This window comes from Homo sapiens, chromosome 6, assembly GCF_000001405.40.
Source record: "Homo sapiens chromosome 6, GRCh38.p14 Primary Assembly".
Taxonomy (NCBI): Eukaryota; Metazoa; Chordata; class Mammalia; order Primates; family Hominidae; genus Homo; species Homo sapiens.
Window position 1 is genome coordinate 107,429,109 of NC_000006.12, and position 27,101 is coordinate 107,456,209.

The following is a 27,101-nucleotide window of genomic DNA, read 5'->3' on the forward strand; positions in this document are numbered from 1 at the left end:
GAACATTTAACCTAGAGAAATCAGGGAATGCTTAGCAAAAGAGCTAACATTTGAATCGAGTCCTATAAAGGTTACGCAGAGTGTACTAGGTGTGAATGCAGATGCCTTATTTCCTGTGGCTACAGCTTAGGGTGGAAAGTGGGGAGTGGCAAGATAAGCAACTAGAGAGGAAAGAAGCCATGCACAAGCTAAACTCTATGCACAGAACACAAGAACTTGTTGAAGAAGTTACTCTATAATACAACATACAAGAGCAGAATTTATCTGTCTGCAGAAAACTCTACCAAACTCCCATACAGTGAGATTTCAAGGTTTGGTAGACATACAAAGAGGCAGGTATCTTGCTTTTAGTCCATAAAGCTAGACTGGACACTACTGTATCTAAACACTCTTTGGCCTCGAACTATTGAGACATCTAAATGCCTGTATGGTTCCAGTAGCAGCAGTGGGTACATAAACACATAGCGGCCATGAAGAAGAATATACTAAACCTAGGGTGGGCGCGGTGGCTCACACCTGTAATCTCTGCACGCTGGGAGGCCAAGGCAGCCAGATCATCTGAGGTCGGGAGTTTGAGACCAGCCTGACCAACATGGAGAAACCCTGTCTCTACTAAAAATACAAAATTAGCTGGGCGTGGTGGTGCATGCCTGTAATCCCAGCTACTTCGGAGGCTGAGGCAGGAGAATCACTTGAAATCGGGAGGCGGAGGTTGCAGTGAGCCAAGATCGCGCCATTGCACTCCAGCCTGGGCAACAAGAGCAAAACTTAGTCTCAAAAAAAAAAAAAAAAAATATATATATATATATATATATATATATATATATATACACCAAACCCAGAAAGAAAGATTTTGGGAGATCTGTCATCCCCAAATGTCTCCCCTTTACTCTTGACAAGGGTAATACCTTATTCATTGCTAAAATTACTTAGCATATACAAGACCTCTTGACATATATTATTCTCACCCACCTAAGACACCTTCAGCTCCCTATTTTCTATTTTGTGGGGGTTTATAACTCACACATCCACTGTAGCCAATTGTATTCATATTTTGCACTCTTTTTTTGTATATTAAACCACTTTAACTTCAAAAGTTCTAAAACCTAGGCCGGGCACAGTGGCTCACGCCTGTAATCCCAACACTTTGGGAGGCCAAGGTGGGTGGACCACTCAAAGCCAGGAGGTCAAGACTAGCCTGGCGAACACGACAACACCCTGTCTCTACTAAAAATACAAAAAGTAGCCAGGCGTGGTGGCGTGCATCTATAATCTCAGCTACTCAGAAGGCTGAGGCACAATAATCACTCGAACCCGGGAGGTAGAGGTTGCAGTGGGCCAAGATTGTGCCACTGCACTCCAGCCTGGGTGACACAGCAAGATTCTATCTCAAAAAAAATAAAAATAAAATTTAAAAAGGACCGGGCATGGTGGCTCACATCTGTAATCCCAGCACTTTGGGTGGCCAAAGCAAGTGGATCACCTGAGGTCAGGAGTTCCAGACCAGCCTGGCCACATGGTGAAACCCCATCTCTACTAAAAATACAAAAATTAGCCAAGCGTGGTAGTGGGTGCCTGTAATCCCAGCTACTCAGGAGGCTGAGGTTGGAGAATTGCTTGAACCTGGGAGGCGGAGGTTGCGGTGAGCCAAGACTGCACCACTGCACTCCAGCCTGGGAGACAAGAGAGAAACTCCGTCTCAGAAAAAAAAAAAGAAAAAAGTTCTAAAATCTAATTCAGGGCCACATGTTAACCAGCACCAGCAATTTCTTCATCTTCCTAATCTTCCTAACCCATTAGTCAATCTTATTTTATTGTAATTCAAAAAAATTAATCGATATTTTGCTCCAGAAAGGATGATTAGTTTTGCCAAGGAAATTTGCTATTCTCCAGGTAGGAAGGAGGAAAGAAAATCACGTTGGGTTCTGTCACCTAAGCCTTTCATTCAGTGAGCCTCACAACAAGATAGGTATTATTATTCCCCTTTTCACCAATGGGAAAACTGAAGTTCTGAGTAGTTAACTTGCTCAAATAGCAGGTAGTAAATGACTGATGTCTGGGCTAAAGCCAGACCTCTTTGGAAGACACAGCTTCTAAAACTAACTTCTTCCCACTATTCCACATAGCTTTAACTGTCACCCTTTTTCTTTTCCTTTTTTCTTGAGACAGGGTCTCACTCTGCTGCCTAGGCTGGAGTGCAGTAGCGCAATCATGGCTCACTACAGCCTCCACTTCCCAGGCTTAAGTTATCCTCCCACCTCAGCCTCCTGAGTTGGGACTACAGGTGCATGCCACCATGCCCGGCTAATTTTTGTATTTTTAGTAGAGACAAGGTCTTGCCACATTGCCCAGGCTGATCTTGAACTCTGGGCTCATGCGAACCTGCTGCTTTGGACCCTCAAAGTGCTGGGATTACAGGCGTGAGCCACTACACCCAGCCACCCGTTATTATTTCTAATAACAATCATAATACTGCACTTCTACCTTATATTTGTACAGTACAGCATACCTTTCAAATCACTTTCATCTATAATATTTTTGTGGGTTCCTAAAACTATTTTTCAAGAAAACTTGGGCAAAGAAAAAAAAAGATGACTAGCCTAAGATCACAGAGAAATGATTACTGAGTACAAATAATAGTTAATAACAGTAGCTATATTTATTGAACAGTTAATCTAAACATTTTACAATCTGTTGTCTCATGTAATCCTCATTACAATCCTGTGAGACAGCAATGACAACAATATGACCTCTTTTACAGATGAGATAACAAGGCTTAAGGAATTCTGTAGTTCACATAGCTAGGAAATGGCAGTCTTGGAATTAAAATTCAGGTACTAGTAGGCTCACAAATCTATTTTCTTATCTACAGCATCATACAGAACTGCTTCCCTAAACTGCAGTGCTCTTTATAGAATATTATGCATTTACTATAATTAAGTTAAACTAAAATTAGTTAGAATTGTGAACTGAAATTGCTATCAGTCTGATTTCCAAACCTACTACTGAATGAAAGTGGTGGAAGAAGCAAACAGGTGGCAGAATAATATCTAGCAGGAATTTAAAAGAAATTTTTCACTGGGTAATCAACACATAGATAATCAAAAACACAATATAATTTGGGGGGAAAGTAAACCATCAACATCTCAGGATTATCCTCTTTGGATCAAGAGACATTACCCTGATCATTTAACAAATGAGCCCACTATTCAAACATACATTCAAAAGCAAAAACATTCTATTTTTCATTTTATTTTTAGTTGACACATAATTTATGGGATATTGATGCATGATATTTCTCAATACATGCATACAATGTGCAATGATCAAGTCAGTGTAATTAGCATAACCATCACCTTAAGCATTTCTTTGGGTAGTGAACATTCAAAATCCTCTCTTTGGCCAGGTACGGTGGCTCATGCCTGTGATCCAAGCACTTTGGGAGGCCAAGGCAGGCGGATCACTTGAGGCCAGGAGTTTGAGACCAGCCTAGCCAACAAAATACAGAAATACAAAAATTAGCCAGGCGTGGTGGTGCACGCCTGTGGCTGAGGCATGACAATCGCTTGAACCCAGGAGGTGGAGGTTGCAGTGAGCCAAGATTGTGTCATTGCACTCCAGCCTGGGCGACTGAGGGAGACACTGTCTCAAAAACAAAAACAAAAACAAACAAAAAAAATCCTCTCTTCTAGCTTTTTGAAAATATTCACTAAATTACTGTTAACCATATTCACCCTACAATGCCACAGACACTAGAACTTATTCTTCCCATCTAGTTGTAACTTTGTATCTGTTAACCAATCTCTCCCTATCCTTCCCTCCCCTCTACCTTTCCCTACCACCCCAATAACCACAATTCTAATTCTTTAAGCTCAACTTTTTCCTTAGCTCCCACATATAAGTGGGACATGTGGTATGTATCTTTCTGTTCTGACTTATTTCACAACATAATGTCCTCCAGGAAAAAAATTTTTTTTTAACTCATCTTATGAAATAGTAAAAATCATCCAGGATGGAAAAGCTCCACCCCAGTTTTTTCCTACGTTGACCGGGTATACTCATATTCGTAAGTATTTTTAAAGTTATGTTAAAATATCCATACTACCCAAAAGCAACCTACAGATTCAATGCAACATTCTTCACAGAAACAGAAAAAAAAAAACCCTAAAATTTATATGGAACCACAAAAGACCCAAATAGCCAAGGCCATCCTGACCAAAAGGACAAAACAGAGGAATCACATTACTGGCTTCAAATTATACTACAGAGTTATTGTAACCAAAACAGCATGGTACTGGCATAAAAACAGACACATTAACCAATGGAACAGAATAGAGAACCCAGAAATAAATTCATACATCTACAGTGAACTCACTGTTCAACAAAGGTGCCAAGAACATGCATTGGGGAAAGGACAGTCTCTTCAATAAGTAGTGCTGGGAAAACTGGATATCCATATGCAAAAGAATGAAACCAGACCTTTATCTCTCACTATACACAAAAATCAAATTAAAATGGATTAAAGACTTAAATCTAAGATTTCAAACTATGAAACTACTAAAAGAAAATATTGGGCATACTCTCCAGGACACTTGCCTGGGCAAAGATTACTTGAATAATGTCCCAAAAAGCACAGGCAACCAAAGCAAAAATGGACAAATGGGATCACATCAAATTAAAAAGCTTTTGCAAAGAAAAGGAAACAGTCAACAAAGTGAAAAGACAACCCACAGAATGGGAGAAAATATTTGCAAACTCTATCCATCTGGCAAAGGATTAATAACAAGAATATACAAGGGGCTCAAACAACTTGAAGGGAAAAATAATCGAATAATTTGATCTTAAAGTGGGCAAAAGAAGACATTCAAACGGCAAACAGGTATATGAAAAGGTGCTCAACATCATTGATCATCAGAGAAATAAATGCAAATCAAAACTACAACGAGATATCATCTCACCCCAGTTAAAATGGCTTTCATCAAAAGATAAGCAATAATGAATGCTAGTGAGGGTATAGTGAAAAGAGGACTCTCATACACGACTAGTGGGCATGTAAATTAGTACAACCATTATGGAAAACAGTACGCAAGTTCCTCAAAAACTGAAAATAGAGATAACTTGTGATCCAGCAATCCCCCTGCTGGGTATATGCCCAAAAGAAAGGAAATCAGTATACTGAAGAGATAGCTATACTCCCATGTTTACTGCAGCACTGTTCACAATAGCCAAGATGTGGAAGCAACCTAAGTGTCCATGAACAGATGAGTGCATAAAGCAAATGTGGTACATATACACAATGGAGTATTTATTCAGTCAGAAAATAAAATGAGATCCTGTCATTTGCAACAACATAAATGGAACTGGAGGACATTAAGTGAAATAAACCAGGCCAGAAAGACAAACTTCACATATTCTTACTCATTTGTGGGAGGTAAAAATTAAAACAATTGAACTTATGGAAACAGAGTAGAATGATAGTTACCAGAGGCTGGGAAGCATAGTGGCAGGTGGGTGGTAGGGATGGTTAATGAGTACAAAAATATCGTTAAAATGAATAAAATCTAGTATTTGATAGCACAACAGTGTGACTACATTTAACAATTATTTACTGTACATTTTAAAATAATTAAAAGAGTATTACTAGAATGTTTGTATCACAAAGAAATAACAAATGCTTGAGGTAACACATACCCCATTTACCCTGATGTGATTACTAGGCATTGTATGCGTGTATCAAAATACCTCCATATATATACGTGTGTGTGTGTATATATATACATATATACCTCCATTTATACTCCATAAATATACACACTTACTATGTACTCATAAAAATTTTTTTTAAAGCTCAACAGTAAAAGACAAACAAAAAATCAGTTTGATTAGGGCTGGGCACAGTGAGTCATGTCTGTAATCTCAGTACTATGAGAGGCCAAGGCAGGAGGATTGGTTGAGCCCAGGAGTTTAAGACCAGCCTGGGCAACACAGCAAGATCTCATCTCTTAAAAAAAAATTAATCTATTAGCCCAGTGTGGTGTTACACATCTGTAGTCCTAGCTACACGGGAGGCTGAGGTGGGAGGATCACTTGAGAACAGGAGTTCAATACTGCAGTGAGCTATGATCATGCCACCATACTGCAGCCTAGGTGGCAGAGCAACATACTGCCTCAAAACACACACACACACACACACACACACACACACACACACACACACACACACGATTAAAATGACCTCCTTTTTGTGTACTCATAAAATTGTACCATGCATACTCCATTGTCATATAGTCACACTTGATTTGAATCATGGTCACTACAGAATAAAAAGTATGTGAGAAAATAAATATTTTAAAATAATCAAAAATGCTTTTAGCAAAAGCTTTATATATACTAGAGTAGTAGTCCTGTGAAACTAAATGACATTCCTTTTAAAAACACAGTGGCCTAAAAGACATAGCCTAAAGTTAGAGAGAGATGTTAAAGAAGGTAGATTTGTGAAGGTATTATTATTCTGAAGATAAATCTCATTTATTTGTAATATCAACATTTTAACAGACAGAAATCTCCTGTCATAAAGCCCCTGTAATTATTAAACACTGTCAAGAGCTCGATCATGCAAATTATCACTGTTTCAAAAATTCAAAACATGACTGCTAAGTTTTTAGAGTATTCATTAGACCTATCTCTAGCATCACAATACTGGAAATAAAATCTTTTTAATTTGCTAAAAAAAATCTTTGAAGCAAATGAAATAATATTCCAAGGAGACTCCAGGAGAATAATTTTTTAAAGCTATTTTAAAACATTTGTTGAAACGAAGTTACAGAACACAAAAATTGCGAAAAAAAAATGAAAGGTTTTCAAGAGCCTTTGGTGAGTCACAGGAAGAAAAGCAAATCCAGCTGCACTCCATAAACTAAAGATTTGTATTTAGAACTTCCAAAAAATATTAAATCAGAAACAACTATCTGATGTGTTAACTATGTGCCCATTTTTAAAACCTACTCTCTAGTATAGCTACTTTTGGGAAAACATTCATTAAACTCTTCGTCAAACCACAAACACAGATGGATTTTTTTGGTAACTAATGGGCCTCTAAGGTGTTTTTAGAAAAGGGAGACAAATCTTGGCCCTAGAGAATAAAGAAGGGACAATTACAGAATACAGGATTGATGAAAAGCAGTTGGCAATACAGTAGTAATGAGCAACATGAGAAGAGAAATTATCTGAATCCAAATTATTATCTAAACAAAAGGAATTATTATAGTACTTAAAAACCTATAACCAATGTATCCTCATTCATTGGGCTCAAAATGAAGAACACAGACCAGTTAGAATTCTTCAGCCTTAAATAATATATGTACCCTTTTTAAAGGTAAAAATTCAGTTACTGAGTACTGCCTTAAATAATTTTTATTAAAATATTATTTAAATATGTACACATGTAAAAGTGATAAACTCTATTTGGTTATACTTCTTATGTAACTAAAAGGAGAGATTTGTTAAAGGATACAAAATTTCAGTTGGGAGGAGTAAGTTCTAGTGTTCTTTATCACTGTAGGATGACTATAGTTAACAATAATGTATTACATAGTTTCAAATAGCTAGGAGGGTAAGAACGTTCCCAACACAAAGAAGTGATGAATGTTTGAAATGACAGACATGCTAATTACCCTGATCTGATCATCATACATTATATGTATCAAAACATCACTATGTACCCCATGAATATGTACAGTTATTATTTGTCAATTAAAAAAATAAAGTACAAATTGAAAACAAAATTTATTCAAATTGGCATTAATTTACTACGACAGATGATGGTACTTGACTGATACTAAATTGCTATTCCCAATATGAAATGGGTGCTGACTGCCTCAGTGTGGGTTTTTTTTTTCTTTCTTTTGAGACACAGTCTTGCTCTGTCACTCAGGCTGGAGGAGTGCAGTGGCATGCTCATAGCTCACTGCACCCTTCAACTCCTGGCCTCGAGCCATTCTCCCACCTCAGCCTCCTGAGCAGTTGAGATTACAGGTGTGTGCCATCGCACTGGTAATTCTTTGAAATAAGGGAAGACTATCATGAAAATGCATTCTCTCACCCCTTTTCTCTATTCAAATTACAGTTGTGAGGCTGGGTGCAGCGGCTCACACCTGTAATCCCAGCACTTTTGGAGGCCAAGGTGGGCAGATCACTTGAGGCCAGGAGTCTAAGACCAGCAGCCTGGCCAACATGGCGAAACCCTGTCTTTACTAAAAATACAAAAATTAACCAGGCAAGGTGGCGCACACCTATAGTCCCAGCTACTCAGGAGGCTGAGGTACAAGAATTGCTTGAGCCTGAGAGGCAGAGGCTATAGTGAGCCAAGATCGCACCACTGCACTCCAGCCTAGGAGACAGAGTGAGACCCTGTCTCCAAAAAAAAAAAAAAAAAAAAAAAAAATTTACAGTCGTGCCTTGTTATACATGGGGGATTGGTTCTAGGACCTCCTCATTTCCACATATACCAAAATCCATGCATACTCAAGACCCAAAATCAGCCCTGTGGGAGCCTGTGTATTATGAAAAATTGGCCTCCCTGCACACGAGCTTCACATTCCCCTATGCCCCACCTCTGGTTGAAAAAAATCTGCGTATAAGTAGATAGATCTGCACAGTTCTAACCCATTTTGTTCAAAGGTCAACTGTATATGAAATTGTTATTCATGTAACATACTGCTCTTATATCTCCTGATTGAGGCCAGAAGATTCTTTCACTCTCGACACAGGAAACAGGTTGGTGAAAAGCACATGACAATCATTACTAATCACTTTACTGGCTCTAGTTTCTAGGGCTAAGGATTTCTGTGAGAAGGACTGCTACTGAAATGGACTCCTTGAACTCAGAAAGCAATGAGAGGCACCCAGGGAAAGGTCGCATCCAGGTGGTAGTAGTTAACTGACAGAAACGAAGTGGGCATGGTGATCCTAACAGGCAGCAAGGTGGATATGGAATATTAGGTCATCTCAAACTTTGTTGTGATAGGCAGAAATCCCTGTCTATATTTAATTAGACTCAATAACTCAAATCAACAGGCAACCCACTTAGATCTGTTTTTATTTTTTATTTTTATTTTTTGAGATGGAGTCTCGCTCTGTCACCCAGGCTGGAGTGCAATGGCATGATCTCAGTTTACCACAACTTCCACCCCCAGGGTTCAAGTGATTCTCCTGCTTCAGCCTCCCAAGTAGCTGGAATTACAAGCATGCACCACCACACCGGCTAATTTTAATTTTTTTCTTTGTATTTTTAGTACAAAGTTTCGCATGTTGGCCAGGCTGGTCTCGAACTCTTGATCTGAAGCAATCTACGCGCCTCGGCCTCCCAAAGTGCTGGGACTACAGGTGTGAGCCACCATGCCCGGCCTGTTTTGATTTAAATAACCAAAAATGAACAAATAACTCCAGGTCTAGTGAACTTGTCTGAGCCACTACAGTAGAGAGTCAGGAACTCTCACCCAAATTCGAGACCCACGGTTCCTTGAATGAAGGGGAGGCCAAATCCCTTTTGGAAGGTTTTATTTCCCCCCATTGGATCTCTGGCCATTTACCCAGGTAATCAAGAGCTGGCAAAAGGGAAATACCAAAACCTCTCCAGGATTATTACATACTGGCTTTGAGCTAACATTAATTCTTAGGAATTAAGAATACCACAGGTTCATCAGTTGGATTGACAATTTATGAGGCTCATGTATAGGAGATGAAGTTCTAATTCAACCTCTTCTCACAACAGTCATCATGACAAAGCCCAAGCACACCTAGTTTTCAGATGTTACCAAATACTGCCCACAATGACTCCCTGGTTCAGAAGGAAGGACTATTATGGTAAGAGGTATGAAGTGGAAGATGATCAAATTCCCTTTCCTTATGAAAATTATTGCATTTCTAAGGGGTGAGTTTTCTAAAATTTATAAAGGAATAGTGAAATGTTATTATGAGACAAAGACATACTGCAAGCAGGCATACTGCCCTCCTCCCTCCACTTTCTTCCTGTACAGAGAATTGAAAAGATGTGTCCACCTAAAATGATGTTGTATTTAATCTGGAAAAGCTGCAATGAATACAGGTATTGAAACAAGGCCATGGCAATTTCAGCAAGCAACTGAAGTAATGATTTCTTTCTGAAAAACAGCTCCTGGCTTGCTACTAGGATCCAGTGAAAACAGAATAGAACATTAAGTGACCATGCAACCTAGCTGTCCATCATGAGTTGTTATTGGATGCATTTAACTCTAAATTCCAGCAAGCCCAAAATGAGCTGTGAAGGCACAATTAAATTGCATATCAGATCACTTACATTCCTTACAACCATATTCCTGCTACATGCCACCTCTCCCTCAAACTACACCTATGGCTTCATGAGAAGTGCCCTATGACCAGCAAGCTTGCAGAGGGGAAAATGCCTCTCCCTGGTTAAAGAAAGACCTGAGCATTATGTTACAGCTGCAAGTGTACCACTGTTGCATAACAACTCCATTCAGGGGTGATCCTGAGAATCAGCTGAGAGGAGAAAGCCTCCTTGTGAGAAGCACTTACAGTGGTACGTATCATTGTTCACTTTACTTGAAAATATGTGGCCTGAGGTCAGTATCTACATGGTAATTTCTGGCATGTCCAATAGACTGGCTGAATAAGCAGGACTGGGGAGGAGCATATTTGGATGACTAGTGACAAGGTAGTTTGGGAAAGGAATATTTAGATACATTTTTGGGAATGGGACCAGCACCTGAGAATATCTGTGCTCCATGTGACTGCTCAGCAAAATTACCACCAAGAAGAGAGTACTAATAAGTATATGGACAAGGTGACTGTTACTGAAAGAGTGAGCCATTTTCCTTGCCTAGTCAATTCAGTACTTGGCTAAATGTTAGTGTTTTGACAGGGACAGTGGCTATACATGTGCTCAACAACAGGGATTTCCTCCCACCAAGGCTGAGCTGGTGGTCTCACTGCTAAGTGTCCCTATATGGTACACTCCTCCAGTTGAGCCATCTACCTCATAAGGGATGGACTCCAGTGACCCTTTTCATCCTAGAGAGGTTAGTAATTTGTCCTTTTCAGAAGAGATATTTATTCTGTATTTGGATGTGATTTACCTGTCATGTTGCTACCAACACTACCATCTGTGGACTTACCTGTGTGCCAGTGTGATATTCCACTTAGTGCCACTGATGAATAAAATCACTTCCCAACAAAAGTGAGGCAACTGGCTGGTAACCAAGGGCTTCTTTGATCTTAACATGTACTCTTTGCATCTTTCAGAAGCAGCAGGCTCACACAATGGTGAAATAGCCTATGACAACATAGACAAGGTTCCAGCTAGGATCTATTGCTATAGAACACAGCTTATGAGCCAAACCAGCACTTTTCCAACTGGGTACTGGACATGGCACTTCTCACAACTCCAGCTAATGACCTCTCAAAATTGTTTCCTTCCTCTAAGACAGGGAGCTACTAAAGGTTTTGTGCCCAGGGAAAGAATGCTTCCACCAGGAGATATAAAAATGGTGCCTTTGAGCTGGAAGCTGAGATTGCTACCTGGCTCATCATGCCAGAAAAAGCAAATGAGAGGCTTAAATAGAGGGATATATCCGCTACAAAGAGAGTATCTGAATACTGTATACAGGAGGAAGAGAATGAGTACAGGTAGAATGTAAGAAATGCTCTGGAGTGCATAATAATAAACTATAATGAAAGACTATTTCATGTCTATCTAAGCTGGGCCACCAATGGCTTAGGATGAAGAAGGTGTAACAACCCATCAGGCAAAGGACCCCACCCAGCTGAAGTTATGGTCATAATCTAAATTCTTTATTTGGTATTAGTGATTGTGACATGAAAATCAAAGTAACATTTTAAGCAGTAAGAAGTGTATTCTTTCTCATGTAAAAAGAAGTCTGGAAATGGGCAATACAAAACTGTGTTGGAAATTCCACAAGGCTATTATGTTCTTTCTTACTCTCCAGCCCACCATCCATAAAATGTGTCACTCAAAAATGGCTTCTAGAGCTCCAGCCACTACATCAGCACTCAAAGCAGCAAGATAAAAGAAGGGAGAATGAAGGGTAGACTCCTCTCTTTGAGGAGGCTTTCTAGAAATTCAAATGCTTCTACCAACATTTCTTTTGGCCAGAAATTAGTCACACAGTCACACCCAGCAGTAAGAGAGGCTAAGAAATGTAATCTCTTATACCTGAATAAATTCAGGGTTCTCTCACCAAAGTGGAAGGGGAAGATGAAAATTGAGAAAGGCTGCCGCCAGTCTCTGCCATAGCGTGTCCACGGTTTTTTGGTGTTTCCTCTACCTCATTATTTCCTCTGCACTACATATAAGTGTGATGGTAGTGGATAAATTTACCATTTAGCCCACAGGTTGAAGAATGTAAGAATTAGGTCACAAAATTAGAAGACTGAACACAACTCAGAGGTCCTAGACATGACAATAAGTTATCTTTTTTGTGGAGGTGGTCAGAATGACTAATTTCCTCATTTAAGGTGGGAATTCTTTTAAATTATCTATACAGTAAGAAAGGGGGCAGAAGGCAGTAAATTCAAGGACAGGGTGCCCTGCTCAGAATCCATTCCCCTTTTGGCCTGTAACACATTTCACTTTTCAATTAGGGAAATTCTTTTCCCTTATTCTGTGAGGTCTAAGCAGGCATGAAATACAGTAGCTTACTCCCCAGCTGACCACAGGGGTGGCCAACACTCAAGCAGGCTCAAACCTAGTACACCATTCACCCATGAAGGAAATGATCTATTTGGCAATAAAGACCAAACAGACCCCCTCTCACAGGACTTTGAATCTTGAGCAGCCATCCAAGGATAAAAGGCAGCCTGAGCCAAAACTTCCTGACAGCAGTGCTGTAGTCTAGAGAAACTGTCTGTAAATTCCTGCTACTGACTGCCCTAGAGCGTCCCCAGTTCTCATTCTTCCTAAGGCCTGATTAGCTCCTCCTTGCCTAAGTAATCCAAAATCAATTTCTTGGCTAGGCGCGGTGGCTCACACCTGTAATCCCAACACTTTGGGAGGCCAAAGCAGGCAGGTCACCTGAGATCAGGAGTTCAAGACCAGCCTGACCAACATGGTAAAACCCTATCTCTACTAAAAATACAAAAATTAGCCAGGCATGGTGGCACATGCCTATAATCCCAGCTACTCGGGAGGCTGAGGCAGGAGAATCACTCGAATCCAGGAGGCAGAGGTCGCACTGAGCTGAGATCACACCACTGCACTCCAGCCTGGGCAACAGAGCAAGACTCCATCTCAAAACAAAAACAAAAAAACAAAAAACAAAAAACAAAAGCAATTTCTATGCTTGCAACTAAACAATGCTGAGATAATTCTATACTTCCTCCCTGAGAGATGAGAAACCCCTATGGCTTTAAATCTCACCTGTATTGAGTACTTCCAACTCTAGCCTTAGTGTTTACCTCCTGTAGGAGGACCTAACCCATTCCTAACTTCAGTTTGGACATTTCCACTTGCTGCAAATACTTCACGTTCAACAGGTCTACAAAATTTCCCCCTACACTCTACACCCAACATACTTCTGCTAGTATCTCAACATACTCAATTGCTCAGCTTATTCTTCTTCTGTTCTTTCACTCTCACAATTATCAAGTCTGCAATTACCAACCTCACTTCACAAATGTAGCTTGAATCCAGTCTTTCCACTTCATCTCCATCACTACTGCCTAAGTTTATAACTCACCATCATCATTCCTCTATCCGCAAGAACATCTCAATTTTCAATGTTTAAATCATCTCGTTGAGACCTTTTGCCACTCTATTGTTTATGTCTTCATTTTATTTGGAAACACTTTTATCCTAACATATGTAACAATTTATTGCACTTTGTGTTTTACATGTCTATTTCCCTTATTTGAATATAAATCCTGGGGAGGGGAAGGGAGAGGAGGGATGTGGGTCAGTGTCTGGTGTTGTTTCCCTGACTAACAAGCATAGTACTTGGCCATTAGAGAACACACTTAACTAGCTGCTGAAAGAAGAAATGAATAAACCATAGCAGTCTTCTGCCAGGCTTTCCTGCCTCTAGCTTTTCTTTTCTGCAATTCACAACCACCACAGCCGCCAAAGTCAGCTTTCAAAAAAGCACATCTGCTTAGGTCTGTCTAGTACTTAACCTTTATGATCTCCACTGACCTCAGGATAAAATTAGATCATCTTAACATGACATACAAAACTCAAAATCTGGCCACAACCTTTCCTTTGCTTTTTAAATACATTTTATTTCATTCATAGAAGCTTTATTCACAGTAGCCAAAAACAGAAGCAACCTATATATTCATTTACGCTGAATAAACAAATTGCTCTATATCCATTCAATGGAATATCTTTCAGCAATAAAAAAAATGTATAGTTGGTTCATGTATCTTGTCCAGTTTTCTGTTTGTTTACAGTGGAAGGGCAAGTTTAGCATCAGATACTCTATCATGGCAGAAGCAGATATTTCTAGCCTATTTCTTTTGCCTCATCCCATCCCACCGTGTGGTGCAGTCTACCCCACACTACAATTTTTCCTAGACTTTGCTGAGCAATTTATTATGTCTTAAATTCTTTTCCTGCCTCAGTCATCTCTTTTTCATCCCACATGACCTGACTCATATCCTACTTCATCTCTGGTAGTCTTCCATTTTCTCTAGGGAGAGAGATCTTTTTCTCCCTCTATGTTTCTACAGCATATTGTTCACTACGGCATTTATCTCAAGGTACTGTGTATGTCTCCCCACGAAAATGAATTTCTAATAATAATGATAATCGCTAATATTTGGGTACTTGCTATGCGCCAGGTACTGTTCTAAGCACTTTACCCATATTAAATCATTCAATCTTCATAAAACTCTATGACATAGCTACTATTATTTATTTATTTTTGAGATAAGATCTCACTCTGTCGCCCAGGCTGGAGTGCAGTGGAACAATCACGGCTCACTGCAGTCTCAACTCCCAGGCTCAAGTGATCCTCTCTCTTCAGCCTTCCAAGTAGCTGGGACCACAGGCACACACCACCACACCCAGCTACTTTTTAATTTTTTTTTTATATAGATGGGATCCCACTGTGTTGCCCAGGCAGGTCTTGAACTCCTGAGCTTCAGCAATCCTTTCACCTTAGCCTCCCAAAGTGCTGGGATTACAGGTTTGAGCCACTGCACCTAGCCACCAGGTTCTATTACTATCCTTGATTTACAGATGAAGAAACTAAGGCACAGAGAAGTTAGATAAATTGCCTAAGAGCTCATAGCTTGACAGTGGTAGAGGCAGGATGTGAACCCAAACAGTCTGATTCCAGAGCTCATGATTACTATACTGTCTCTCCTAAATTCCTGGACGGCAGCAACTGGGTCTTATTCTTGTTTGTACATCCATGCCCAGAGCACCTCAAATATTTGTGGAATGAATTAAAATTTATAATTTTCTCCTAGTCATCCATGAAAAAGTTCTTCATAAGTAATGTAGGTTTTCAGTCAGTAATTACAGAACTGAATCTAGAAAGGGTCTTTCATAAACATGGAAGAGACTAAAATTAAATTTCTAATAATAAATTCAAAGAGCTCTGAAGAATTTTACCATGCAGAAAGGACTAATGAGGTTTTTTAGGTAGCCAAATAACAGTAGTGAACTCAGGAACATAAAGTCCCTACAAAGGAATCAACACACCCTAAGAGAAGAGACTAAATGTCATAATTCGTCTCCAATAGCTGCATACTAAATTAATCCTATCCATTTAAATCTGAAATCAAGAGCATAGTTTTTTGAAGGCAAAAGCAAAAGGAGTATTTAAACAAAAATTTAATCCTAAAAGCCAAATCTGTCAAGAGTAATCAATGAAAATAAATAAAGCCTTACTACTCAAAGAATCATCTATGTTTTAGAAACAACAAAAGTCTAACCAATTCTGTATTGGAAAAGTATTGGTCACTGCCTGTGAAACAACTAAAAGTACTTAAATTTTAGTGATTTATACAGAAATTTAAGTAACGAAAATTTATATATAATTTTTTATAAATTACATATTTTATATATATATATATTGCACAAGTGGATAATTACATTTAGTTAGGGAAACAGTAATAAAACCATTGGGTAGAGGTTGTATTGAGAGGAAGGGGACAGTTGATGCATGTTGTTACCTTCAGTTTATTCCATCCTACCAATCTATGTCACATACCTGGGCCATCCAGCTTGGACAAGTCCACTATCCCTCATCCAAAGTCCCTGAAACCAAACCAAATGTCTTTCAGAATCCAAAATTTTTCTGATTTTAGGAAGGTGCATTTTACCCAACACTGCAGCAGGAACTGGGCAACACCCTGTAATCAAAAGCCTTAATATTTCTGCATCAAATGCATAAATATTCATATTAAATGGGATAAATAAAGACTATAAATAGCCTCACATCAATCCAGGTCAGATGTGTAAGTCTAAAAAAATTCTGTTTTCTGAGCTTTTCAGATTTTAAATTGTGGAAAAAGGATTACAGACTTCAACTATTACATTGTATTCAACCTGGTTTATTCTCTGCTTGAGAACTGACGACGGCTTCCTTACCTGCCACATTCAGATACAATATTAATTTCCATGCTAGTCCGGAATTGGCAACATTATTGGAAATAATCTAGTCAAACTCCTTACTTCATTGCTTAGGAAACTAAAGCCCAGAGAGATAAAATGACTTGCCTGGGGATCACACGGTTAAGTACTGACAGAGATGAAACTACAACACACACATCTGTCTCCCAGGTCTTCTTTCTCTTTCTCTCTCTGTCTCTGTCTGTCTGTTTCTCTCTCTCTCGTGCATGCTCTCTCTCTTTCTCTCTGGATTTGAAGTGCTTTTTTTAAGGCTTTTCAAAATAAGAAATAATTGGCCAGGCGCGGTGGCTCATGCCTGTAATCCCAGCACTTTGAGAGGCCGAGGCGGGCAGATCACAAGGTCAAGAGATCGAGACCATCTGGGCCAACATGGTGAAACCCCATCTCTACTAAAAATACAAAAGTTAGCTGGGCGTGGTGGTGCACACCTGTAGTCCCAGCTACTCGGGAGGCTGAGGCAGGAGAATTGCTTGAACCCAGGAGGTGGAGGTTGCAGTGAGTCAAGATTGCACCACTGCACTCCAGCCTGGCAACGAAGCAAGACTCCATCTAAAAAAAAAAGAAAAAAAAGAAATAATTACAGACAAACACAAAGTTGCAGAAACACTACAGAGTCCCAGGTACCCTTCACCCAATGGTGAAATCATGTAATAGCTATAGAACACTAAAACCAAAAAATTGATATTGATAGATTGTTAACTACAGACCTTATTCCATTTTCAGCATCTTTTAACCTGCATTTATTTTGTGTGTAGGTGTATAGAGTTCTTTGCAACTGTATTAGTCTGCACTCACATTGCTATAAGGAAATACCCAAGACTGGGTAATTCATAAAGAAAAGAGGCTTAATTGACTCACAGTTCTACATGGCTGGGGAGGCCTCAGGAAACTTACAATCATGGCCAAAAGCACCTCTTCACAGGCCAGCAGAAGAGAGAATGAGTGCCAGTAGGGGAAATGCCAGATGTTTATAAAACCATCAGATCTCATGAGAACTCACTCACTATCATGAGAACAGCCCCAATGATTAAATTATCTCCCACCAGTTCCCTCCCATGACACATGGGAATTATGGGGATTACAGTTCAAGATGAGATTTAGGTGAGGACATTCTGACCCTGGCCCCTCCCAAATCTCGTGTGCTCACATTTCAAAATGCAGTCATGATGCCCTTCCAAAAGTCCCCCAAAGTCTTAACTCATTCCAGCATTAACCCAAAAGTCCAAGTCCAAAGTTTCATGTGACACAAGGCAAGTCCCTTCTACCTATGAGCCTATAAAATCAAAAGCGGCCGGGCGCAGTGGCTCACGCCTGTAATCCCAGCACTTTGGGAGGCTGAGACAGGCGGATCACGAGGTCAGGAGATCGAGACCATCCTGGCTAACACGGTGAAACCCCATCTCTATTAAAAATACAAAAAAAAATTAGCCAGGCATGGTGGTGGGCGCCTGTAGTCCCAGCTACTCAGGAGGCTGAGGCAGGAGAATGGCGTGAACCCAGGAGGCAGAGCTTGCAGTGAGCCGAGATGGCACCACTGCACTCCAGCCTGGGCGACAGAGTGAGAATCCGTCAAAAAGCAAAACAAAAAAAAATCAAAAGCAAGTGCATTACTACCTAGACACATCTCTCTGGGGCTACAGGCACTGGGTAAATACATCTGTTCCAAATGGGAGAAACTGGCCAAAACAAAGGGGATACAGGCCCCACATCAAGTCCGGAATCCAACAGGGCAGTCATTAAACCTTAAAAGTTCCAAAATGATCTCCTTTGATTCCATGTCTCACATCCATGTCACGCTATTACAAGAGGTGGGCTCCCACAGTCTTGGGAAACTCTGCCCCTGTGGCTTTGCAGGGAACAGCCCCTCTCCTGGCTGCTTTCACAGCTGGCATTGAGTGTCTGAGGCTTTTCCAGACACATGGTGCAAGCTGTACGTGGATCTACCATTCTGGGGTCTGAAGGATGTTTGCTCTCTTCTCACAGTTCCACTAGGCAGTACCCCAGTGGGAACTCTGTGTGGGGGCTCCAACCCTACACTTCCCTTCCGCACTGCCCTAGCAGAGGTTCTCCATGAGGGCTCCACCTCTGCAGCAGACTTCTGCCTGGACATCCAGGAATTTCCATACTTCCTCTGAAATCTAGGCAGAGATTTCCAAACCTCAATTATTGTCTTCTACACATCTCAAGCTCAATACCACATGGAAGCTGCCAAGGCTTGGGGCTTGCACCCTCTGAAGCAACAGCCTGAGCTGTACCTTGGCCCCTTTTAGCCATTGCTGAAGCTGCTGAGATGCAGGGCACCAAGTCCAGAAGCTGCATACAGCAGGGGGGGCTGGACCTGGCCCAGGAAACCATTTTTCTCTCATAGGCCTCTAGGTCTATGATGGGAGGGGCTGCCAAGAAGGTCTCTGACACATCCTGGAGACATTTTCCCCATTGTCTTGGCAATTAGCATTTGGCTCCTCATTACTTATGCAAATTTGTGCAGCCAGCTTGAATTTCTCCTCAGAAAATGAGTTTTTCTTTTCTATTACAATGTCAGGGTTGCAAATTTTCTAAACTTTTATGTTCTGTCACCTCTTGAATGCTCTGCTGCTTAAAAATTTCTTCCACTAGATACCCTAAATCATCTCTCTCAAGTTCAAAGTTCCACAGTTCTCTAGGGCAAGGGCAAAAAGCTGCCAATCTCTTTGCTAAAGCATAGCAAGAGTGACCTTTACTCCAGTTCCCAACAAGTTTCTCATTTCCATCTAAGACCACCTCAGCCTGGATTTCATTGTCCATATCACTATCAGCATTTTGTCAAAGCCATTCAACAAGTCTCTAGGAAGTTCCAAACTTTCCCACATCTTTCCCATGTCTTCTTCTGAGCCCTCCCAACTGTTCCAACCTCTGCCTGTTACCCAGCTGCAAAGTCGCTTCCACATTTTCAGATATCTTTATAGCAGCACCCCACTCTCTACGGTACCAATTAGTCTGTTCTCACATTGCTCTAAGGAGATGCCCCAGACTGGGTAACTTATAAAGAAAAGAGGTTTAATTGACCCAGAGTTTCACATCTTGGCAGAAGGTGCCTCTTCACAGGGCACCAGGAGAGAGAATGAGTGCCAGCAGGGGAAATGTGAGATGCTTATAAAACCATCAGCTCTTGTGAGAAGTTACTCACTATCATGAAAACAGCCTGGAGAAAACTACCCCCATGATTCAATTACCACCCACTGAGTCCCTCCCACGTGGGGATTATGGGGATTACAATTCAAGAGGAGATTTGGGTGGGGACACAGCCAAACTGTATCAGCAACTTTATCCCATGTATAGATTCACACACTCACCACCACAAGACTCCCAACTGTTCTACCACAATATTCCTCTTTGTATTTACACTCCTCCCTATTCCTCACATTGTCCCTGACTCCAGAAAACACTTACTATTCTCCATCTCCACAGTTTTGTCATTTTGAAAATGATATAAATGTTATATAAATGGAATCAGACAATATATAAACTTTTGAGATAGACTTTTTAAAAAATTGGGTAAAATTTACATAAAATTTACCATCTTAACCATTTTAAGTGTACAGCTCAGTAGCATTAAGTGTATTCACAGTGTTGTATAACCAATCTCCAGAACTTTTTATCTTGCAAAACTGAAATCCTATAACTATTAAACAACTCTCCATTTCCCCCTTCTTCCAGTCCCTGGAGACCACCTTTCTGTTTCTACACACCATTTCTCTAAATTTGACTACTCTAGACACTTTATATAAGTGGAATCACACAGTATTTGTCCTTTTGTGACTGGCTTATTTCACTTAGCATAATGTCCTCCATATTTCACTCAGCATAATGTCCTCCAGGTTCATCCATATTATGACACGTGTGCAACCTCAAACACGTGGGCTCAAACGATCCTCCCACTTTGGCCTCTAGAGCAGCTGTCTAGCCAACTTATTTTTAGGAGCCACCATGTCTAGTTAATTTATTTTTTTATAGAGATGGGGTCTCACTGTGTTGCCCAAGCTGGTCTCAAACTCCTGGCCTCAAGTGATCCTCCCACCTCAGCTTCCCAAAGTGTTGGGATTACAGGCATGAGCCACTGTGCCTGGTCCCTCCTTGTTTTTTAAGGCTGAATAATATTCCATGGTAATATATACCACATTTTGTTAATCCTATCAACCATCAATGGACAACTGGGTTGCTTCTACCTCTTGGCTACTGTGAATACTGCTGCTATGAACATGGGTATACAAATATCTCTTTGAGACACTGCTTTCAATTCTTTTGGAAACACACCCAGAAGCAGAATTGTTGGGTCATATGGTAATTCTATTTTTAATTTTTTGATGAATGAGATTGACTTTTTTCACTCAGAATAATTCATCTGAGATTCACCCAAGTTGTTGTATCAGTGGTTCATTTCTTTTTATTGTTGGGTAGCATTTCGTTGTTATGTATGGACCACAGTTTGTTCAACCACTCACTAGGATATGTGGGTTGTTTCCAGTTGGGAAATAATTAAAGACAGAATTAAAACAGTATAACAAACAGTATATATGTAGAGGATAAATTAAAGAAAGGAAAACTATGAATGTAGGGGGAAGAATGTTGAGGAATCAATTCACAATGACCAACTACAAAATTCCAACATGAGAGAGAAAAATGGTGGGAACCATGATACTGAAGAAATAACACACAAAATCATCCCAAAATAAAGGATATAGGATTAAGTTAAGAAGGCCTTCATTCTCCACTCCAAAAACCATCAAGGTGAAATTATGGAACATCATTCTAAAGAAAGGATCTTTCCTCTAGAAAGAACACACAGCCCTATCCAAGCTGTGGAATGAAAATGGCATTAATACAAGAAACTTAACTGCAAAGGAGAAATACATATATGTAGGATTTTCAACCTATAATTCTATAGGTTATGGCAGCCTATTACAAATAAGACTGCCACAAACATTTGTGTATAGGTTTTGGTATGGACATAAGTTTTTATTTCTCTGGAATAAATGCTCAGGAGTCTGATTGCTGGGCTACATGGTAAGTGTATGTTTAAACTGATTGATCAATCAACTGATTGATTGAGACAGGGACTGACTCTGTCACCCACGCTGAAGTGCAATGGCACGATCATGGCTCACTGCAGCCTCCAACTTCCGCGCTCAAGTGATCCTCTTACCTCAACCTCCCAAGTAGCTGGGACCACAGGTGTGCACCACCACACCCAACTAATTTTTTATATATTTTGTAGAGACAGCATTTTGCCACATTGCCCAGGCTGGTCTTGAAATCCTGGACTCAAGTGATCTGCCTGCCTCAGCCTCCCAAAGTGCTGGGATTACAGGCGTGAGCCACTGTGCCCAGTCGTATGTTTAATTTTATAAGAAATTGTTATGCTGTTTTCCAGAGGGGCCGAACCATTTTACATTCCCATCAGCAATGCATGAGAAATCTAGTTTATCTGCATCGTTACTAGAATTACATATTATATTTTTTATTTTAGCCATTCTAATTGGTACATAGTAGTATCCCATTGTTGGTAGAAGAGCTGAGGCAGGACTGGCTTGTCTGTCATAATGTAAAAGAGTCTTGGAAGATGTCCGGGATCCAGGGTCTGAAACCCCTCGTGGCCTTTGGAACACCAAGCTCTGTGCCAAAGGGTGGAAGGCTACACTGCCGCACCACAAATCTAAGCCCAGGGCATAAAACCCCTTGTGGCTTTGATGGAATCCAGGGCTCAGGGCATAAACCCCTCGTAGCCTCTGGAATGTGCACAGACTTGTTGGTTCCTTGCTTCTTTCTTGTAAACATGCCCTCCATTATCTCAAGCAGCAGAGCATATTCTATATGGGTCAAAGGAAGTGCTAAACCGTCACAGCTACACTTAATGCACCACTACCTTTCTACTCTCACCTCCTCATGCCCTCACCTGTTTACCCTCATGTCCTCACCACCTGCTTCTTTGTTTGATCACCAATAAATAGGGCGGGTTCCCAGAGCTCGGGGCCTTTGCAGCCTCCAATCTAGCGCTGGCCCTCTGGACACACCTTATGAACTCTTAACTTGTCTTTTCTCATTCCTTTGACCCCGCCAGACTTTGTAGCCCTCAGGGCCTGGTGTTGGGCCCGATCACCTCAACATCCCATTGTGATTTTAATTTGCATTTCCCAAAAGGCTAATAATGTTGAACATCTTTTCATATGCTTACTTGCTACCTTTATAGGTTTTTCTTTTAGCCCATTTTCTTTTCTTTCTTCTTCTTTTTTGTTTTTTAAGTGACAAAGTCTTGCTCTGTTGCCAAGGCTAGAGTGCAGTGGTACAATCATAGCTCACTGCAGCCTTGAAGTCAAACTCTTGGGTTCAAGGAAGCCTCCTGCCTCTGTTTCCCTAGTAGCTGGGATTACAGGCATGCACCACCGCACAAGCTTTTTCCCCTATTTTCTAATTGTATTGTTTGCTTTCTTGAGTTTAGAGAGTTCTTTTTTTTTTTGCAACAGAGTGTCACTCTGTTGCCCAGGCTGGAGTGCAGTGCCGCGATCTCACTGCAACCTCTGCCTCCCAGATTCAAGTGATTCTCCTGCCTAAGCCTCTGGTGTAGCTTGAACTACAGGCACCCACCACCACACCGGCTAATTTTTGTATTTTTAGTAGAGACAGGGTTTCACCATGTTAGCCAGGCTGGCCTCAAACTCCTAGCCTCAAGTGATCCACCTGCCTCGGCCTCCCAAAGTTCTGGGATTACAGGCATGAGCCACCGCACCCAACCTCTTGAGTTCAGAGATTTCTTTACATAACCTGGATACAAGCCCTTCTTTGAATATGTGATTTGCAAATATTTTCTCCCAGTCTGTGGCTAAACTTTTCACCCTCTTTACAGGGTCTTTCACAGAGCTAAGTTTCAAACTTTTTTTTTTTTCTTGAGACAGAGTCTCACTCTGTCTCCCAGGCTGGCTTGCTGTGGCGCAATCTCGGCTCACTGCAACCTCCGCCTCCCAAGTTCAAGCGATTCTCCTGCCTCAGCCTCCTGAGTAGCTGGGATTACAGGTGCACATCACCACGCCCAGCTAATTTTTGTATTTCTAGTAGAGATGGGGTTTCACCATGTTGGTCAGGCTGGTATCGAACTCCTGACCTTGTGATCTGCCCGCCTCGGCCTCCCAAAATGCTGGGATTACAGGCGTGAGCCACCACGCCTGGCCAGTTTTGAACTTTTATGGAGTCCAATTATTGTTTTCTTTTATGAATTTTTTGGTGTCATGTCTAAGAACTGCTTACCTAGCCCTAGGTCCTGAAGATGTTATCCTATGTTTTCTTTTTTTTTTGAGACTGAGTCTTGCTCTGTCGCCCAAGCTGGAGTGCAGTGGTGCAGTCTCGGCTCACTGCAACCTCCACCTCCTGGGTTTGAGCGATTCTCATCTCAAACTCCTGACCTAAGGTGATCCACCCACCTTAGCCTCCCAAAGTGCTGGGAATTCAGGCATGAGCCACTGCACCCGGCCGTGATATTATCCTATGTTTTCTTCTGAAAGTTTTATAGTTTAACATTTCATGTTTAAATCCATTTTAAGTGGACATTGATTTCACAAATAATCCATTTTACATTGATTTTTAAAAAATACTGTGTGAGGTTTAGGTCAAGGTTCATTTTTTTGCCTATGATGTTCAATTGTTCCAGCCCTATTTTTAGAGAAAGAAAAAAAAAAACTATCCTCCCTCCATTGAATTGTTTTTGCACTTTTGTTAAAAATCAGTTGGGCATATTTGTGTTAATCTATTTCTGGGTTCTCTATTCTGTTCCATTGATCTGTCTGTTCCTCTGCCAATACCGCAGTGTTTTGATTAATGCAGCTATATAGTAAGATTTAACAGTAGGTGGAATGATTCCTCAACCCATGCTTTCTTTTTCCAACATTTTAGTTATCCTAAAATGTTCTAGTTTTTACTATTCTAGCTCTATTCATGCTGCTTATCCTTGCTTTTAAGGTCTTCCCCATACCTAGTAGAGGTATGGTAGCCTGGAGAAGAAAGGGGAAAAAAGAAAGAATCATGAAGGAAAAAAACAAATATTATATAACTACTACCCTAAAACATTACTCATGTAATTTTTATCCATCCATCCTTCAATGGAGTCCCAATTTCTCCATGAAAGGTTCTCTACTATTCCAAGCCATCTCTCTATGTGGTAGCTCATTAACCACAAGTCATTTGTTTCCTTCTGTTAGATATTTGTAAATATCTTTTGTGTCAACTCATCAAGGGACAGGGTCCATGTTTCAGACTTCTTTTTTTTTTTTTTTTTTGAGACAAGGTATCACTCCATTGCCCAGGATGGAGCACAGTGGCACGACCACAGCTTACTGCAGCCTCGACCTCCTGGGCTTAAGGTATCCTCTCAGCTCAGCCTCCCATGTAGCTAAGACTGCAGGCATGCACCAGCAACCCGGATAATTTTTGGTATTTTTTGTAGAGATGGGGTTTCACCATGTTGCCCAGGTTGGTCTCAAACTCCTGAGCTCAAGCAATCTGCCTACCTTGGCCTCCCAAAGTTCTGGGATTGCAGGTGTGAACCACCACACCTGGTCTAGACTTCTTTATATCACTTCATAAGTTTCAATAAACATTTAATTAATTATTTATCTAATTATAGTTTACAACAGAGAGATCCTAGAAAATCTAGATGAACAAGAGTAACAATGAGCTAAATGCTCCTCTATTCCTAGTAACAGAATCATTATCTCACCAAACCTCAAGATTTTTAACCTCATTTCTCATTTAGTGTTAAAGAATATATGTCACATCTAGGCTGTTTTTCCCTTTTCTTGACAAGATGTCTTAGGTAAAGAGATCAGTGAATAGCAAATTATGGTGGTTTCCTTTTTTTTTTTCCTGCTGTTTGCTAACAAAGTCACCATTCACGTAAACTTTAGGGCTATTAGACATGATTCACCCCTAACATACCATGTAGCTTTATTCGAAAAGTAAATGGCTCCAGCCTGGGCAACAGAGCAAGACTCTGCCTCAAAAAAATAAAAATAAAAAAACAAAAAAAATACAGCTGCTTAATCCTTGATTTTAGTTATAATTTACAATAATCATTACCTGCTTAACCTCTGGATCAAATGCCTGCTCCTTTGCTGAAATAACTGTGTACAGTGTATATACAAATATATACAGATACATATCCACACCCCAAAAGTTTCTTCATTGGCTGTCTATGAGTTTAGGCTGTTTAAATAATTTGCAACACATTATTGTAGTAAATAGAATAAAATTATATGCAGATTAGCTCTTTCTTTTCTTACAAAATACAGCAACACATACATGCTAGGACAACTTTGCAAAAACTTACTTATTCTGTGCCTTTCCAGTTCTGTCACTGTACTATAGTACTACAAGGCAGGTTAGGCAACAATTAGGAAAGTTTCAGAACCATTAGTCTCACAAACTTTCATCTAGGATGCCTCTGGTGGCCTCTGAAGAGATCTTCTCCAAACCCTCATCTGATGCTATTGCAACTAAGTAGACGAACTACGGTTCTCAGAATATACACATTAATAAGGCTCTTTTTAGCTTCACCCTTTTCACTTCTGTGCTTTATGATGGACTACAATACTCATAATGCAATACTACAGCCCCTATCATTGACACTATCATTTCCATCAAACACAAAGAAACCTCCTTCTGGATTACCAAAAACTAAGAAATCTGGGCCAGGCGCAGTGGCTCATGCCTGTAATTCCAATACGTTGGGAGGCGGAGGTGGGCAGATCATGAGGGCAGGAGCTAGAGACCATCGTGGCCAACATGGTGAAACCCCTTCTCTACTAAAAATACAAAAATTAGCTGGGCGTGGTGGCACATGCCTGCAATCCCAGTTACTGGGGAGGCTGAGGCAGGAGAATTGCTTGAACCAGGGTGTCAGAGGTTGCAGTGAGCCGAGATCAGGCCACTGGGCACTCCAGCCTGGCGATAGAGCGAGACTCTGTCTCAAAAAAAAAAAAAAAAAAAAAAAAAAAAACTTAAGAAATCTCTTAGTTCTAGTGTTATGAGAACTAGGAGTAACCTGAACTCAGAAGTTGTTTATGAGAGTATAAACTGGTACATTCACTTTAGAAAGCATTCTAAAGATAAACATGTGCACATCCAACAATTACGCTCTTGTTTTTATATCCTCGTGACATGAACACCAAAAGATATGCAAACATATTTATAACAGCATTTTTCATAATATTAACAAATGCAACAACCCAAATGTTAATTACAAGATGACTGTGAGGCCCGGCGTGGTGGCTCACGCCTATAATCCCGGCACTTTGGGAGGCTGAGGTGGGCAGATCACGAGGTCAGGAGTTCAAGACTAGCCTGGCCAATATGGTGAAACCCTGTCCCTACTAAAAATACAAAAATTAGCCAGGCATGGTGGCGGGCGCCTATAATCCCAGGT

The 27,101-nt window shown here is 40.6% G+C and overlaps 1 protein-coding gene across 15 annotated transcripts in view; it reads right to left on the bottom strand.

Annotated features, from left to right (window-relative positions):
• PDSS2 (decaprenyl diphosphate synthase subunit 2) overlaps positions 1–27,101 on the bottom strand; it is a 307,003-nt gene that overhangs the window by 276,547 nt on the left and 3,355 nt on the right. The window contains exon 2 of one of the 15 annotated variants that reach the window (XM_047419098.1): positions 16,233–16,279. The exons of the other annotated variants lie outside the window; for them this stretch is intronic. Coding sequence (XP_047275054.1) covers positions 16,233–16,270 — 38 coding nt within the window. The 5' untranslated portion in view covers positions 16,271–16,279. The remainder of the gene's footprint in view (positions 1–16,232; positions 16,280–27,101) is intronic. 15 annotated transcript variants of the gene reach the window in all.